We start from the raw sequence: 17,270 nt of genomic DNA, 5'->3' as shown, positions 1-17,270 counted from the left end.
AAAGAGACTCCAGGGAGTTTGCTTGAGCGGCACTCCCTATGAACCAAAAACAGACACCAACTCCTCCTAGGTTGGTTTTTTGTTTTTTGTTTTTTGTTTTTTTTTTTTGAGGCAGGGTCCCACTCTGTCATCCAGGCTGGAGTGCAGTGGTGCCATCTTGGCTCACTGCAGCCTCAACCTCCCAGGCTCGAGTGATCCTCCCACCTCAGGTCCTAAAGGAAGAGTCGCTACATTGGGGACTGTTTGGACAAGGAGATCCACGGGGTAGACTTAGCGGGATTGTCCCTGGGGCAGCCTGGATCCTGAGGCTGCCCCGCCTCCTTCCTCAGCCCCTCCCTGGTCAGGCGCTCCTGGTGGGTGGGGGGGGTAGTCCAGGCTTGTCTTGCAACTGTATGTTCTCTTCAGACCCCTCCCTGGCGATGCCAGATTCACTGGGCTGGCAGATTCTGCCCCCAAACCTGTCCAACCAGTTGTTTGAGAGGAGGGGGTAGCTGGGAGGGGCAGCAGGAGATGCCAGGAACAGCTTCCCCTAGCACAGCACAGACTACAGACAGGGGAGCCTCTGGGGCTGCAGACACTGCAGACGGACGGACAGACAGATGGACAACAGCTGGAGGCTTGGCCCGGCCATAGGGCTCTCTGCGGGACAGTCCCAGCTGCTAGTGTCGCTGTTGCTGCTACTGACCCGTGTCCAGCCTGGGACAGACGTGGGTGAGTAAGGGTGGGGATTGGCACAGGGGTACCCGCTGCATCTCAGGCTGCAGGACAAACCCAAGACCTCACTTTGTTTCCAAATTCTCACACATGGCTCCTGCCTCCTTCCTTTCCCTGAGGAGAGGTTTCCAGATGTCCAGGACAATGCATGTCCCCAGGAAGCTCTGGTAAGCCCAGCCTGGGCAACATAACAAGACCCCTTTTTTCAAAAAGATTTTTTTTTTTAAGATTTTTGTTTTTAATTAGCTGGGTGTGGTGGAGTGCACCTGTAATCCCAGCTACTTGGGAGACTGAGGCGGGAGGATGGCTTGAGCCCATGCAGTGAACTATGAATGCGCCACTGCACTCCAGCCTGGGCCAAACAGCAAGACCCTGTCTCAAAAAAGAAAAGAAAAGAAAAACTGGACAGGCTGAGAGATACAGTCCTACAATCTCTGCCCCCAACCCCAATCTCTGACTGCTCCGCTTCTCTTTTTCTTTTTCTTTTTCTTTTTTTTCTTTCTTTTTTTTTTTTTTTCGAGACAGAGTCTCCCACTGTCACCCAGGCTGGAGTACAGTGGCGCGATCTCAGCTCACCACAACCTCCGCCTCTCGGGTTCAAGCAATTCTCCTGCCTCAGCCTCCTGAGTAGCTGAGATTACAGCCGTGCGCCACTATGTCTGGCTAATTTTTGTATTTTTAGTAGAAACAGGGTTTCACCATATTGGCCAGTCTGGTCTCGAACTCCTGACCTCGTGATATGCCCGCCTTAGTCTCCCAAAGTGCTGGGATTACAGACGTGAGCCACCGCGCCCGGCCTCCACTTCTCTTTCTAAACATTACGTGCCTCCTGCACGCAGAGTGCCCTGGGCTTCAGAGATAGGACTGAGAGCTGTAAGAAAGGAATCGTGACAATCCTTCCCCAAGGAAGACTCTAGCCTGAACCTTTGGAGTTGAGTTGAATTCAACGTAAATGAATGAAGTTGAACTGAACTGAACTGAACAGGGGCAGCTGCTGGAGACTCACATAGAAACCCACTCCATCGTTCTGCTTCTCCTAGACCAGTATTTGGGGTTGGGGAGGTCTGAGCTCTCCAACCAGCAAGGCTGGACACAGGCCAAGTTGCCAATCCTGAGTCCCCTTTGGGGTACAGACCTGGGAAGCTTGTCCTCGTCCCCCACCCTTCCCCAGAGAGATGAGGTGGGAGTCTGAGAGGGGGACCTGGTCCTGAAGGCGAAGATGCCTCGGGGCCATGTTGGGAGGCGGCAGAGAACCAGGCAGGTTGAAGAGGACGTTCTAGACTCACTCGGAACCAAGCTCTGGCTCCAGAGCCCCCGGACCCTCTGGGCAGTCTGTGTCCCAGCCTGGGGTCTCAGCCAAGAGGACCTTCCTGTGCCATCCCCCCGACCCCTGCCAAGCCACGCATCCTCTCATCAAGCAAAACAACCTAGACCATGTGGGTGGAGCTGGAGGGACTTAAGTTGGAGGTCACTGGGCATGTCAGGAACAGAGTTCAGCCTAGGGTCAGGCTGCCCCCAAATTCCAGTTCCATCCCAACATGGCCCGGCCCAGGAGAACTGTGCCTACCGCCAGGGTGGGACCTCCCATGCCACCATTGTCCTAGACCTCCCACAGTGCCCACCCCCAGTAGGCTCCTAAGAGAGGGGCCAGGGGCTGGACTCAGGCCTCCCACCCATGCCCATGGGGCATAGAGTTGCCGGGAAAGCTTCCTGGTTCATACCGGACCTGACCTCCCAGGAAGTGCCCGTAACTTGGGGCTCCCATGTTAAGTCTGGATCTGGGCGGGGGGAGACCAGAGCTGTTGGGGCTTGGTTGCCCCATTTGGACTCTCCTCTCTGCCCTCCCCTTCCAGCTGCCCCAGAGCACATCAGCTATGTGCCCCAGCTCTCAAACGACACCTTGGCGGGGAGGCTCACCCTGTCCACCTTCACGCTGGAGCAGCCTCTAGGCCAGTTCAGCAGCCACAACATCTCTGACTTGGATACCATCTGGCTGGTGGTGGCCCTCAGCAACGGTGGGTGCTGCTGGGGCCAGGCTTCGGTTTTCCCTATGTGAAATGGGCCTGCGGGCCTAAGGGCAGTAGCGGGTGTGTTGCAGGGAGATGCAGGGAGCAGGTGCTGCAGGGGATGGGGCCGGGGAGGGCTGTCAGGCTTGGTAAGGTGAGGGTGGGATCCTGCTGTGTGACCTGTCTGACCATGGTGCCACCCTTAGCCACCCAGAGCTTCACGGCCCCACGGACAAACCAGGACATCCCTGCTCCTGCCAACTTCTCCCAGAGGGGCTACTATCTCACACTGAGGGCCAACCGGGTGCTGTACCAGACCAGAGGCCAGCTCCATGTCCTCCGCGTCGGCAATGATACCCACTGCCAACCAACAAAAATTGGCTGCAACCATCCCCTACCAGGACCCGGCCCCTACAGGTGAGCAGCTCTGCCAGGCCCTGGCTCCTGCCCGCATGCACCCAAGCCGGAGCCTGGGGCAGCTCCTACGAGGCTCACCAGGGCCCCAGCAGGATGCCTGGGTCCCCTGCTCCTGCTTGGCCAAAGGGAAGAGGAAGCAGCAGGCAGGGGCTAGGGAGGCCTTCATGAATTACATGAATTATCCTTCTTCTCTTTTTTTTTTTTTTCCTTTTCTTCTTCTTCTTTTTTTTTTTTTTTTTTGTTTTGTTTTTTGAGATGGAGTCTTGCTCTGTGACCCAGGCTGGAGTACAGTGGGGTGATCTCGGCTCACTGCAACCTGTGCCTCCCGGGTTCAAGCGATTCTCCAGCCTCAGCCTAACGAGTAGCTGGAATTACAGGCATCTGACACCACACCCGACTACTTTTTGTATTTTTAGTAGAGACAGGGTTTCGCCATGTTGGCCAGGTACCTGCCACCATGCCTGGCTAATTTTTGTAATTTTAGTAGAGATGAGGTTTCACCATGTTGGCCAGGCGGGTCTCAACTCCTGGCTTCAAGTGATCTTGAAGGCCCACCTTGGCCTCCCAAAGTGCTGGGATTACAGACGTGAGCCACCATGCCTGGCCTATCCTGCTTTTCTTGAGCAGAAGGTTCCCCACCTCAAGCCCCAGTCCCCACAGGCTGTGTGGACCACTCAGGTGGCGTCTCTCCATCCAGACAGGGTCTCCCCTCACTAAATGCTTGATTCACGCATGTTCAGTTCTGAGACATCTAATACTCGCCCTCTACCTTTCCCAAATGAGGACACAGAAGCCCAGAGAGGGGGAGGGACGTCACACCACTGGAAATGTCACACCTAGATTTGAACCCATTCTGTTGGGCTCTTTCGCCCCAGCCTCCGGCCCCCTCCCCGGGCTGCTCTCGCCAGGGCCTGGGACTCCAGGGGACAGACTTGCAGGCACCAAGTCTGATGGTTTCAGGACTCCGGGGGACCCCCATGTCCAATGCTGGGTCTCCCATTCAGGGTGAAGTTCCTGGTGATGAATGACGAAGGACCCGTGGCTGAAACCAAGTGGTCCAGCGACACTCGCCTGCAGCAAGGTAGGGGCCAGAGGCTCCGGTCAAACAGTAGGGGCAGGGGGCTGGGGCCTGGGGGTCCTGAGGACTGAGGATGGGCTGGGGGAACAGGTCAGCTCACCACTGAGTCAGAGGCAGCCAACCATCTTGCAATCTGCAGGCGCCCCTCCCCCAGCCACCCCCTTCCCCCAGGCCTGGGTGGTAGTAGGGGAGGCAGGGCGGTGATTGGTCTGGATTCTGCCCAAGGGCCCCTTCCGGTCAGGTAAAATTTCTTTTCCTGCCCGCCTGTGCGGCCCCCATCACTGCCCTCAGCCCAGGCACTTCGGGCTGTCCCCGGCCCCCAGAGCCCGGGCACCGTGGTCATCATCGCCATCCTGTCTATCCTCCTGGCCGTCCTCCTCACGGTCCTCCTGGCTGTGCTCATATACACCTGGTGAGTGGACCGGGCTGAGACCGCCCATGCCTCTTGGGAGGGGCGGGGCCCTTGGGCATTAACCCCTCCCTCTCTAGTTCCTCCCCGCCCGCCCCTGCCCACCTTCCAAGCGGGCACTGTGCACCCCCTGGTGGCAGCATCTGGGATTGCAAGTGGGTGCCGCCTGCGGACACCCCAGTCGGGGAGGCGCCCAAGGAGGAGGTGAATTGCTTTCACACCAAGCTCTGAGCATTGCCTCAAGACGCCATACAGGCCGGGTGCGGTGGCTCACGCCTGTAATCCCAGCACTTTGGGAGGCTGAGGCCCGCAGATCACCTGAGGTCAGGAGTTCAAGACCGGCCTGGCCAACATAGTGAAACCCCAGCTCTACTAAAAATACAAAAAATTAGCCGGGTGTGGTGGCACGTGCTTGTAATCCCAGCTACTCAGGAGGCTGAGGAAGGAGAATGGCTTGAACCTGGGAGGTGGAGGTTGCAGTGAGCTGAGATTGCATCACTGCACTCCAACCTGGGTGACAGAGTGAGACTCCATTTAAAAAAAAAAAGGGGGGGGTGTCAGGATTTCATACAGAGCTCAGGTGCCTGAGCCTGGGGCACAGAGAGTGTCCACAAGGCTTCCTAGAGAAAAGGGGAGACCTAGCCCTGTTGGGATTTGGGGAGGAGGGGGAGAGGGAGTGACTAAAAAGGGGGTGGGGAGGTGTGGGGGCAGGAGGGGCAGGAGGGGTGCATGCAGCCAGGCCAGGCCAGGGGCCCCAGGTGCCTAGCTGAGGAACTGGGCTGTATCCTGCAGCCTATGGGAGCCGGGAGTGGGTTTTGATCAGGGGAGACAGGCAGATAATGTTTGAGCGGGGTCCTGAGGTGTGGAGGGTGGAGGGGGAGAGTGATGGGGAGCAGGAGCAATGAGCTAGATTTGTGAGGTTTGAAGGAATCGCCTCAGTCCCTTTGGTTAATTCTGCCCAGCCAGTGGAGTCTCAGTTTCCCCTATGCGATGGGTCAGAGCATGCTAGCCAATGGCTGTGGGATCTCGGCCAGAGCCTTTCTTCAGCATCCATCATCTCTCCCTCTCTCCTCCCCTCCCAAGCTTCAACAGCTGCAGGAGCACTTCCCTATCAGGCCCAGAGGAGGCAGGGAGTGTGAGAAGATACACCACGCACCTCGCGTTCAGCACTCCTGCCGAGGGGGCTTCCTGAGGGGTTCCAGAGGGGCCCACGTGTCCCTCCACCTCCTCCCTGGCCCAGGCTGCAGAGCCTGAGCTGGGACACGCCCTGAAGCTTCTGGACCCTGAGAGAGATTGTTTCTTTTCTTTACTATTTTTTTTTTTTTTTTTTTGAGACGGAGTCTCACTCTGTCGCCAGGCTGGCGCGATCTTGGCTCACTGCAACCTCTGCCTCACGGGTTCAAGCGATTTTCCTGCTTCAGCCTCCTGAGTAGCTGGGACTACAGGCACACGCCACCATGCCCAGCTCATTTTTGTATTTTTAGTAGAGATGGGGTTTCACCATGTTGGCCAGGATGGCCTCCATCTCTTGACCTTGTGATCCGCCCGACTCGGCCTCCCAAAATGCTGGGATTACAGGCGTGAGCCATCAAGTCTGGCGAGAGAGATTGTTTCTAGATGAGGGTGGGGGCGGGTGTCCTTAGCCCAAAGCTTGTGCCAGTCTCTATCGGAAATAAATGCCCCCAAAACCTCCCTGCCTGTCCGTGACATCATACACCTGGGTAGTCTTTCTGCACCACTGCCCCTGGCTCCTCCTCCTGAGGAGGTCCCCAAGGGCGTGTAGGACCAGGGCAAGGCTCAGGATCCTAGAGAAATTGTCACCTGGGGCAGGACAGGCCTCTCTGCCAGCCTTACTGTCCCTATCTGTAAAATGAGGATGGTAACCCTGAACCCACAAGGCCACAGTAAGGCTAAACCAAGGTGAACATGCCTTGGGAACTGTGAAGACTGTGGACCCAAAGCCGGTTGCGGTGGCTCAGGCCTGTAATCCCAGCACTTTGGGAGGCTGAGGCAGGAGGATCACTTGAGCCCAGGAGTTCGAGACCAGCCTGGGCAACATGGTGAAACCCCATCTCTACAAAAATGACAAAAAATTAGCTGGGCTTGTTGGCGGACTGTGGACCTGAGATAGGTGCTCCTCTTGTCCTGCCCAGACAGCCTCCTGGTAACCAAAGGCCACGGGGCAGCATGGCTGGCACTTGCTATCTTTCCACCCAAGCATCCTCCCTGTGGCCCCTCTCCCCAGCCTGCCCCCTGTTGGCTGGAGGACTTCAAGCCCTCTGCCTCCACTTCCTCCAGTCCTTTCCTAGAGTACACAAAAGGCAAAAGGCGCAGTTTCTTTTTTTTTTTTTTTTTGAAATGGAGTTTCACCTTATAGCCCAGGCTGGAGTGCAGTGGCACCATCATAGCTCACTGCAGTCTCTAATTCCTGGGCTCCGGTGATCCTCCCACCTCAGCCTCCTGAGAGTAGCTGGGACTACAGGCACATGACACCACGTCCGGCTAATTTTTAATTTTTTTGTAGACATGGAATCTCACTCTGTTGCCCAGGCTGGAAAGAACAGTGGTGTGATCATAGCTCATTGCAGCCTCAAACTCCTGGGTGCAAGCGATCCTTCCGCCTCAGCCTCCTAAGTAGCTTGGACTATAGGTACATGGCACTATGTCTGGCTAATTTTTTAAATTTCTTTAGAGACGGGGTCTCACTATGTTGCTCAGGCTGGTCTCGAACTCCTGGTCTCAAGTGATCCTCCTGCTGGGATTACAGGCGTGAGCCACTGTGCCCAGCTCATGCAACACTTATCATCAGGATTCCCGCTCAGTGCTCGGACCCCAGGGGCCAGAGATGCCCGCGGCAAGGTTCTGCCCTCAAGGTGCCCACTGCTTTAGGGGGAAGACAGTGATACTACCACATACGAGAGAAGGAGAGGACACAACTGTCAGGGAGATGGACTGTTGGAGCTTCAGAGGCAGCATCTTGGGGAGGGGTGGCTTTGAAGAAGGAGCAGGACACTTGGGCCAGGTGGACCTTGGAAGGGTGCCAGGCAGGAGGAGCAATGTGTTGCTGATGGGCAGGTAGGGGAGGGTGAGGGATGGAGAGGAGACCGGAAGACACCCTGTGCCATGTGGAGGGGCCCTGCCCTCTGGGGCAAGAGGTCAGGGAGGAGGGCGCTGGCTGGGTTCCCAGGCGCCTGCCCCTGAGAGGCGCAAATGGCCCTAATGGGGTTATTAGGTGGAGCAGATGCATCCGGCTCCTGCTGTGGAGGAAATGCTCAAATGATCTTGAAGCTACCAGGCTGGGAGAGGCAGGCAGGGGATGGGGCAGACAGGCTGCCAACCTCTGTGAGATAAGCCCTGGCCTCTCCAGAACCTTTTCAGAACAGCTATGAGCCCCAACCCTGGGGCTGAGTGACCCAAGACAGATCACTCACACTCTCTGGGCCTCAGTTTCCCCTTACATAAAAAGCAATGGTTAGGCCAGGTGCAGATGGCTCACACCTCTAATCCTAGTGCTTTGGGAGGCCGAGGTGGGAGGATTGCTTGAGACCAAGAGTTCAAGTCCAGCCTGGGCAACATAGCAACACCCCATCTCTACAAAACATAAATACAAAAATTAAGGCCGGGCATGGTGGTTAAGGCCAGGCGTGGTGGCTCACACTTGGAATCCCAGCATTTTGGGAGGCAGAAGCAGGAGGATCACCTGAGGTCAGGAGTTTGAGACCAACCTGGCCAACATGGTGAAAACCCGTCTCTATACAAAATACAAAAATTAGCCAGCCATGGTGGTGCATGCCTGTAATCCCTGCTACTGTGGAGGCTGAGGCAGGAGAATCACTTGAACCCAGGTGAAGGAGGTTTCAGTGAGCCCAGATCATGCCACTGCACTCCAGCCTGGGTGACAGAGAACAAGACTGTCTCAAAACAAAACAAAAGAAAAATTAGCCAGACATGGTAGTGTGAACCTGCAGTCCCAGCTACTATGGAGGCTGAGGTGGGAGGATCGCTTGAGCCCAGGAGTTGGAGGCTGCAGTGAGCTATGATGGCACCCCTGGACACCAGCCTCTGTGACAGAGCAAGAGCCTGTCTCTAAAGTGAAACATTTTTAAAAGGGAAGGTGAACTGGGTGAACTCTAAGACCCTGCATTTCACAAACCCTTGCCCACACCCTGTATGCGTCGGGCCCTGGCAGGAAACAGATGGTACGCTGTCTCACAGGGCAATTGAGAGCGTTTACAAAGGTGTGGGCAGCATTAGGGGAATGGACCAGAGAGGGTGACCTGGGACTTGGCTGTAATGGGGCCCTAAGCACTCCTGGATCTGATTGCTGATGGGAGGGAGGGAGTGATGTTTCCCGATCAGCAGGCAGTAGCCATGGGTGAGGGGCCCCGCAGGAGCAGGGGCTGTAGGTGAAAGGATGAAGCCACCAGAGGGAACTGGGCTCTGTCTTCCCGCCCCCTGATCTCATGCCAGTGCCTCCACTGGCCACACCTCACGAGAAGCAAGAGAGTGTGGGGTCTCAGTGGTGCAGTCCCTGGAGGCCAATCTGCTGGGTCAGAGCAGGACAGAGAAAGCGAAATGGACATACGGAGGCACACGCCGCTTTCATGCTGATCCAGTGGAATTAGATCCTTCCTGTTCTTTCTTTTGTTTCTTTCTTTTTTTTTTTTTCCTTTTTTAGAGATGGGGTCTCACTTTGTTGCCCAGGCTGGGGTATGGTGGCGTCTTCATAGCTCACTGTAGCACTGAACTCCTGGGCTCAGGCGATCCTCCCACCTTGGCCTCCCAAAGTGCTGGGATTACAGGCACTACAGGCACCTAGCTAACTTTCTTTTTTTTTGTAGAGGCAGGGTCTCTGTCACCCAGGCTTGAGTGCAGTGGCACGATCATAGCTCACTGCAGCCTTGAACCCCTGGGTTCAAGCAATCCTCCCACCTCAGCCTCCCAAGTAGCTGGGATTATAGGTATGTGCCACCACCCAGCTAATTTTTTTATTTTTTGTAGAGATGGGGTCTCGCCATGTTGCCCAGGCTAGTTTGGAACTCCTGAGCTCAAGAGATGCTCCCACCTTGGCCTCCCAAAGTGCTGAAATTACAAGCATAAGCCACCATGCCTGGCCTCCCTTCCTGGCCTTCTGGTCTCCAGACTGGAGAGAGGGCCACAAAGTCCTGCCCAGACAGAGGGCTGCTAAGGCTGGGGTGGGGCTGGGGGTGTGCAGAAGGGACTCTGCAGGGGCTGACCTCTGAGTCTCAGGGGACAGGGCAAATTTTTTTTTTTTTTTTTTTTTTGAGATGGAGTCTTGCTCTGTCGCCCAGGCTGGGGTACAATGGCACGATCTCGGCTCACTGCAATCTCCGCCTCCTGGGTTCAAGTGATTCTCATCTCTCAGCCTCCCGAGTAGCTGGGATTACAGGAGTGCACCACCATGCCCAGCTGATTTTTGTATTTTTAGAAGAGATTGGGCGGGGTGGGGGGTGGGGTGCGGGTTTCACCGTGTGGCCCAAGCTGGTCTCAAACTCCTGACCTCAAGTGATCCTCCCGCTTCAGCCTCCCCAGGTGCTGGGATTACAGGCATGAGCCACCGCACCCAGCAGGGACAGGACAATTTTGCCAGCTGGAGAAGGGGTGGCCCCCAAATGTCCCCTTCACCACCCTCCTGCCTCTTCCTTCAGAACACTTTTTCCCTGAAGCCCTCCTGGGTAGCCCCCTACCCACATGCCTCAGCATTGGGAGGTGGGGAGTATGGGGGTCCCCCTTCTCCTCAGCCCCATTTGGAGTAATGTCCTGTGCAGCTGAGCTCACAACTCCTCCTCCACCTGTCCCTTCACCCGGTGTCACTGGCAATTGCTCACTTCCTGGGCCTGCACCCACTCAGCTCCCCTATCCCTGGGCATCAGCCTCAGCCAGCTCCCATGTGGACTAATGACCCTTGTCCCTCCCCTCAGCTGCCTCTCTTTTTTCTTTTTTTTTTTTGTTTTTGAGACAGAGTCTGGCTCTGTCACCCAGGCTGGAGTGCAGTGGCGCGATCTTGACTCATTGCAACCTCCACCTCCTGGGTTCAAGCGATTCTCGTGCCTCACCCTCCTGAATAGCTGGGATTACAGGCACCCGCCACCATGCCCGGCTGATTTTTGTATTTCGGTAGAGACGGGGTTTCACCATGTTGGCCAGGCTGGTCTCGAACTCCCGACCTCAGGTGATCCGCCCGCCTCAGCCTCCCAAATTGCTGGGATTACAGGCGTGAGGCAGCTCGCCCGGCAACCCTCAGCTGCCTCTCATATGTCCTTGGCCCCCTGGCCATCTCTGACCAGACATCTAGGAGGCCCCTCCTGCCAATATGCTTCCCCGACAGCCGAGCCCAAAGCTGTCTCCAGCCCTGCACCTTGTCTTGGTTCCCCGGGTGCTCCCTTTCCCAGGCTGAAGCCTGGACAGCCCCAGGCAACCTCTCTCCCTGACCACAGTACCACCTGGCCACATGCCACACTGCTTTCTACAGCAGACACCGCCTGGCCACAAAGATTTAAGCCACTTCCTTGGGTCCTGCTCAGCGCTGAGCCCAGAGCCCAATCTCAGGGACTGGGAGAGAGCCCAGTACATGGCCAGTGGGATTCTCCCGATGAAAATCCCAGCCATGTGAGGCTGGCTTCTCCAGGTTCTCTGAGGCCTGTGAGTCCAGGGCTGGCTGGAGGGAAAGCCCCTGGCCCCTTAAAGCCACTGATCATGTTCCCATAGAGGGATCCTGAGAATCCCCTGGGAGAGAAAATGTCGGAGCCCCAGTCCTGGCACCCCCCTGACCAGCTTGGGCCTCAGCCTCCTCATCCATGAAAAGAATGGACAAGAGGGGTCTGGGTGCGGTGGCTCACGCCTGTAATCCCAGCACTTTGGGAGGCCGAGGCAGGTGGATCACGAGGTCAGGAGTTCAAGACCAGCCTGGTCAACATGGCAAAACCCTGTCTCTACTAAAAATACAAAAATTAGCCGGTTGTGGTGGTGCACGCCTGTAGTTGCAGCTATTTAGGAGGCTGAGGCAGGAGGATCACTGGAACCCGAGAGGCAGAAGTTGCAGTGAGCTGAGATTGTGCCACGGCACTCCAGCTTGGGCAACAGAGCCAGACTCCATCTTAAAAAAAAAAAAAAAAAAGGAGGGACAAGAGGCACCAGAAGCTCCTGTCCAGGTCTGGGCCTCCCTCGGGTCACTCAGTTCTCCCCCATTCATTCATTCATTCACTCACTCACTTACTCACTCATTCCCACACTCTGCAGCCACTGACTTCAGCTAGCCATGCTGGATGCTAAGACGTAGAGTCCCGGCCATCAAGGCCAGTCCATCTCTGTGGCATCTAGACATGCACAGAGATGACCAGGGAGCCCCTAAGGGACAGAGAGGCACACCCTGCCTCCTGATCCCATCTGGGGGCTGCATGAAGGAGGGGCACAGGTGTGGCCTTGAAGGCTGGGTAAGGGGCTGGGAGGGCTTTAGGGGCATTCCAGGGGGCAGGCACAGAACTGGAGGCTCTGCCGGGCACACCCACAGGAGAGCAATGGCTGGAGGGTGACATGGACTGCAGGGTGTGGCCGCGGCAGCCCAGCTCTTAAGGGGACAGCCTGGGAAAACAGACTTAGGGACAATGATCTTGAGCCATGAAATGATGTCCAATGCCCCTTGTGCCACCTGACATCAGCCTGATTAATGAACAAACAGAAGAGGAAGCAGGGGACCTGTGTGTCCCTCTCTCTGCTTTTCTGTCTTTCTCTGTGCCCCCTCTCTTATGTCTCTCACGCTGTCTCTTGTCCTTGTTTTTAACTCTGACACGCCATGGGAACTTGGCTCACTTCCTAGGGGGAAGCTGTCTGGACTGGCCCAGAGATGGGCACCACCATTTCCCAATAAACACAAGATAAAATCAGAGAGCTGGCGTCAGTTCCGCGGCTGGACTCAGTGGGGAAAAGGGCAAAAAGCAGCAGAAATAAGAGCAGGGAAAGAACAGGGGCTGGGTGCGATGGGTCCCATCTGTAATCCCAGCGCTTTGGGAGGCCTAGGTGGGAGGATCGCTTGAGCCCAGAAGTTCAAGACCAGCCTGGGCAACATACGGAGACCCCCATTTCTAAAAAAGTTTTAAAAATTAGCTGGGCATGGTAGTGTGCATCTGTGGTCCCAGCTACTCAGGAGGCCGAGGTGTGAGGATCGCTTGAGCCCAGGAGGTCGAGGCTGCAGTGAGCTATGATTGCATCACTGCACTCCAGCCCGGGCACAGAGCAAGACCCTGAGACCTTGTCAGAAAGAAAGAAAGAGAGAAAGAGAGAGGAGAGGGAGAGGGAGAAAGAAAGGGAGGGGGAGAGAGAGAGAGAGAGAGAGAGAGAGAGAGAGAGAGATGAAAGAGAAGGAAGGAAAGAAAGAAAGGAAAGAGGAAGGAAGGAAGGAGAGGGGAAGGAAGGAAGGAGGGGAAGGAAGGAGAGAGAGAGGAAGGAAGGAAGGAGGGAAGGGAAGGAAAGGGGAGGGGAGGGGAGGAGAGGGAGAAAAGAAAGGAAAAAGAACAAGTGGATATCAGGGGACAGAAACCATTCGCAGCCCATCCCTCGGCAGATGCAGAGGGAGTCAGCCTGGAACCCCCACCCCTGCTGGCTGTGCCCCACCGCTGTCTCCACACCCCAGCCCTTCCTCCAGACACCCAGCCGTCCACTGCAGCAGGAGCACAGGTGCCCCAAGGGGACCACTGTTGGAAACCAGGCAGCCCTCCACTCACCCACACAGTGTGTCTCTGCACCCCCTCTTTGACATGGGAGCCGGGGCGCTCTTGGAAATCAGGGTTTACCTGAGGGGTCTGAAGACTTGGGCAGTGGGGGGCTGTGAAGCCTTGGGGAGGGAATCAGCTTGTCCAAGAGTCTGGGGCAGCGAGTGGTCGGGGGCTACCCGGTCTGACCCCATCAAAGTAACCTTCCTGGGGGATATTTCCATTGCAGGGTCACAAAAAGGCAAGGGCTAAGGTTCGAGAGAGGGGTCTCTCTGGGGTCCCAGCCACCCTGCTGTGGGGGCCCTTCCCAAGCAGGACACTCCAGGCAAAGGGGATGGCTTCCCCTTGCTCCCAGGACCCATAGGTGAGGTCCTGGCTGAAATGCAGACTGTCCCCAGATGCCCCTGGGGACTTGTAGGGATTTGGGGGATTCAGTGTTGCAGGAGCTGGAACCCTTGCTTGCTGGACGGGTTTGAGCTGTGCTGTCAGGCCCAAAGCTCCTGGGTCTCCAGGATGGTGCATGAGGGCTCACACCAGCTGCTCCCTGCCACCCTTCCCCCACCTCCCACCCCTTCTCCTGGAGCCCCAGTCCTCTGGTCCTCCAAGCTCAGCTTCAAATGCTTCCACCACTTCTGTCTCTTCTACCTCGAGTGGTTTGTCAACCTCCAAATCACACGGAGTTCAAGAATATCTCAAATATCGACCAGGTGCGGTGTCTCACACCTGTAATGCCAGCACTTTGGGAGGCCGAGGCGGGTAGATCACCTGAGGTCAGGAGTTCGAGACCAGGCTGGCCAACTTGGTGAAACTCTGTCTCTACTAAAAATACAAAAATTAGCCGGGTGTGATGGTGGGTGCCTGTAATCCCATCTACTTGGGAGGCTGAGGCAGGAGAATCTCTTGAACCAGAGAGGTGGAGATTGCAATGAGCCAAGATTGTGCCACTGCACTCCAGCCTGGGCAACAGAGTGAGACTCTGTCTCAACAACAACAACAACAAAAAGAATATCTCGAATACAAAAATTAGCTGGCCGTGGTAGTTTACACCTGTAATCCGAGCTACTCAGGAGGCTGAGGCAGTAGAATCTCTTGAACCTGGGAGGCAGAGGTTGCACTGAGCTGAGATAGCGCCACTGCACTCCAGCCTGGGTGACAGAGCAAGACGTCATCTCGAAAAAAAAAAAAAAAAAGAGTATATCGAATCCAAAGGAATATCTTGAATACAAAAATTAGCTGGGCATGGTGGCACACGCCTGTAATCCTAGCTACTCAAGAGGTTGAGACAGGAGAATCGCTTGAACCCAGGTGTTGGAGGTTGCACTGAGCTGAGATTGCGCCACTGCACTCCAGCCTGGGTGACAAAGCGAGACTGTGTCTCAAAAAATAAATAAATAAATAAAATACAAAATTAAAAGAAAGATTATCTCCTGGCCACCCATGGTGCAGGCTGTAATCTGTCTCTGCTGGGGTGAAGGGACGGAGGGAGACAGATGAGAAATGAGAACACAGACCTGGAGACCCAGACCACCCATGCCAGCTACCCAGGTCACTTCAGCCCAGCCCAGGGAGCCCCTGCCCAGCACAAGCCTCATGCACAGTAGCAGTGTTAAGATGGGCCCTTGGGCTGGGTGCAGTGGCTCACACCTGTAATCCCAGCACTTTGGGAAGCTGAGGTGGGTGGATCACTTGAGGTCAGGAGTTCGAGACCAGCCTGGCCAACATGGCGAAACCCTCGTCTCTACTAAATATACAAAAATTAACTGGGCGTGGTGGTGAGTGCCTGTAATCCCAGCTATTCGGGAGCCTGAGGCAGGGCAATTGCTTGAACTCGGGAGGCGGAGGTTGCAGTGAGCCGAGATCGCACCACTGTACGACAGAGCAAGACTCCGTCTCAAAAAAACAATAAAAAGAATTGCTGGAGGAGGGAAGTGAGGGGCGGCTGGCGGGGGACTGCTGGGCTGGTGCAGAGGGAGTCAAGGATCCCTAAGAGAGAGGCAGGGGTGTTCAGCTCTCCCACCTCTGCTGGATGAACTTGCAGAGCCTCCTTGGTGACCCAGCCGGTGCAGAGACTCTGCTCAGGACAACACCCTTGCCTGGGACCCCCACATCTCTGGCCCCAGCAGCAGCCCTTGGGGGGGTCCCTTTATCTTCCTCCACTCCTACCCAGGCTTCCTCAGCAGGAGATGAGGCAGGACATTTCCACTCCCTTTCTGGAAGGTTCAGAAGGTTAATGAGAGCTAAGCACGTAAGTCCATTTAGGGGGATGAACTTCTGGGAAGAGAGGAACCTGGGTCTGGGCTGACGTCCAAGGGCGGGCTGGGTGACGGTCCCTCTGATCACGGACCCTGTCCACCCACTGCCCAGGGCCCTGCCTCGACCCCTCTGACCAGCCACCGAGCCCCAGAGGGATCTCCATGAATGTCAGAGACATTGACTGGAGGCCTTATCTCCAGTGGGAGACCCCTTCTCTTCCCACTGTGGGCCGGTTCCAGCCTGGGCTGTCCAGGAAGTGACCTCTCAGGGCCTGGGAAGGGTGTGGCCAGTGGTTCTTGGTTGTACTCAACTCATCTGCCTTGGGTCTAAGGCTGGGGTGAATGGAAGGGCCCACCTGGACCCTGGAGGGACACCAGGCTCATACTAAAATCCCAAAAAGTGAAAAGCTTTCCCCAGGCCCAAGCAGAGAAACTGGACCTTGAAGCTACATCTCTGGACTTAGTCCTCAAAGTAGGAGACATTTGCCTCTAAGCTGTTCTCTCCCACCCCACCTTTCTGTGAGCCGCCGGTTCCCTGTTGTCCACATCAAGCTGTGTGCTGGGCACTGGGTGCAGGAATAGCTTGACCACAGTCTCTATCCTGGGGGTAAAGGGGTGAGCAGCCCACAGAGGGATGGACTGCAAACAGACAGTCCCAAAGTGCCATGAGAGAAGCTCTCAGGGCCTGGGCGTGATGGTTCATGCCTGGAATCCCAGCACTTTGGGAGGCCGAGGTGGGTGGATCAGTTGAGGTCAGGAGTTCGAGACCAGCCTGGCCAATAAGGTGAAACTCCATCTCTACTAAAAATAAATAAATAAATAAATAAATAATACAAAAATTAGCCGGGCATGGTGGCATGCACCTGTAAACCCAGCTACTTGGGAGGCTGAGGCAGGAGAATCACTTGAACCCCAGAGGCAGAGGCTGAAGTGAGCCAAGATTACGTCACTGCATTCCAGCCTGGGTGACAGAGCGAGACTCCATCTCAAAAAAAAAAGAAAAAAAAAGAGAGAGAGAGAGACAGAGAGAGGCTCTCAGCCTGCAGGAAAGGGCTCTCTCCTTGTTGGCCAAACCAGTGGGCCCTTTAGCTGTGACGGGTGTGCCCTGGGCCCAGCAGGACAGGAGCAAGGTCAGGAGGGCTGCTCTGCTCTGCAAAACAGAGGCTGATGGATCTGAAGTTTCTGTTACTGGGAGAATAAAGGGAGGTGAAGGAGACACGTGGTAGGTCCCCTGGGAAGGTGGTGGGAATGCGTGTGAAATGCTCGGAGAGGCACAGTAAGAACCGGCCTATTTAGAATCCAGTGTTCTACGCCTGCCCCAGGCCCCAGCAATTCTGCTTCTAGACATCTCCCCATGAGAAATGAGCACTGAGCCTCCCAAACATGTCTTTTGGGAGGCCAAGGGGAGCGGATCACTTGAGGTCAGGAGTTCGAGACCAGCCTGGCCAACATATTGAAACCCCGTCTCTACTAAAAATACAAAAATTAGCCAGGCCTGGTGGTGGGTGCCTATAGTCCCAGCTACTCGGGAGGCTGAGGCAGGAGAATCGCTTGAACCCGGGAGGTGAAGGCTGCATTGAGCCAAGACTGCGCCATTGCACTCCAGCCTGGGCCACAGAGTGAGACTCCGTCTCAAAAAAAAAAAAAAAAAAAAAAAAAGACATG

At 55.7% G+C, this 17,270-nt stretch overlaps 1 protein-coding gene and 1 long non-coding RNA gene across 2 annotated transcripts in view, besides 1 other annotated feature; both read left to right on the top strand.

Annotated features, from left to right (window-relative positions):
- The window catches only part of POLR2J2-UPK3BL1 (POLR2J2-UPK3BL1 readthrough), a 34,639-nt gene extending 28,323 nt beyond the window's left edge, over positions 1 to 6,316 (top strand). The window contains exons 5-9 of the long non-coding RNA NR_173352.1: positions 2,568 to 2,729; positions 2,927 to 3,137; positions 4,142 to 4,218; positions 4,507 to 4,627; positions 5,708 to 6,316. This is a non-coding gene — a long non-coding RNA (POLR2J2-UPK3BL1 readthrough). The remainder of the gene's footprint in view (positions 1 to 2,567; positions 2,730 to 2,926; positions 3,138 to 4,141; positions 4,219 to 4,506; positions 4,628 to 5,707) is intronic.
- On the top strand, positions 550 to 6,316 carry UPK3BL1 (uroplakin 3B like 1). The gene is made up of 6 exons (NM_001114403.3): positions 550 to 711; positions 2,568 to 2,729; positions 2,927 to 3,137; positions 4,142 to 4,218; positions 4,507 to 4,627; positions 5,708 to 6,316. Exons 1-6 carry the CDS (start codon positions 600 to 602, stop codon positions 5,814 to 5,816), a joined length of 792 nt encoding a protein of 263 aa, NP_001107875.1. The 5' UTR covers positions 550 to 599; the 3' UTR covers positions 5,817 to 6,316.
- Positions 2,020 to 2,521: an enhancer, noted in NCBI's record as "H3K4me1 hESC enhancer chr7:102281267-102281768 (GRCh37/hg19 assembly coordinates)". NCBI's record gives its function as "activates a minimal SCP1, AML or CMV promoter by ChIP-STARR-seq in naive H9 embryonic stem cells {active_cell/tissue: H9 hESC(naive)}" and the evidence as "EXISTENCE:reporter gene assay evidence [ECO:0000049][PMID:30033119]".
- Positions 6,317 to 17,270: the final 10,954 nt, after the last annotated feature.

This window comes from Homo sapiens, chromosome 7 (assembly GCF_000001405.40).
Source record: "Homo sapiens chromosome 7, GRCh38.p14 Primary Assembly".
NCBI lineage: Eukaryota > Metazoa > Chordata > Mammalia > Primates > Hominidae > Homo > Homo sapiens.
Note: the sequence above shows the minus strand (reverse complement) of the source record. Positions and strands in the feature narration are given on the sequence as shown.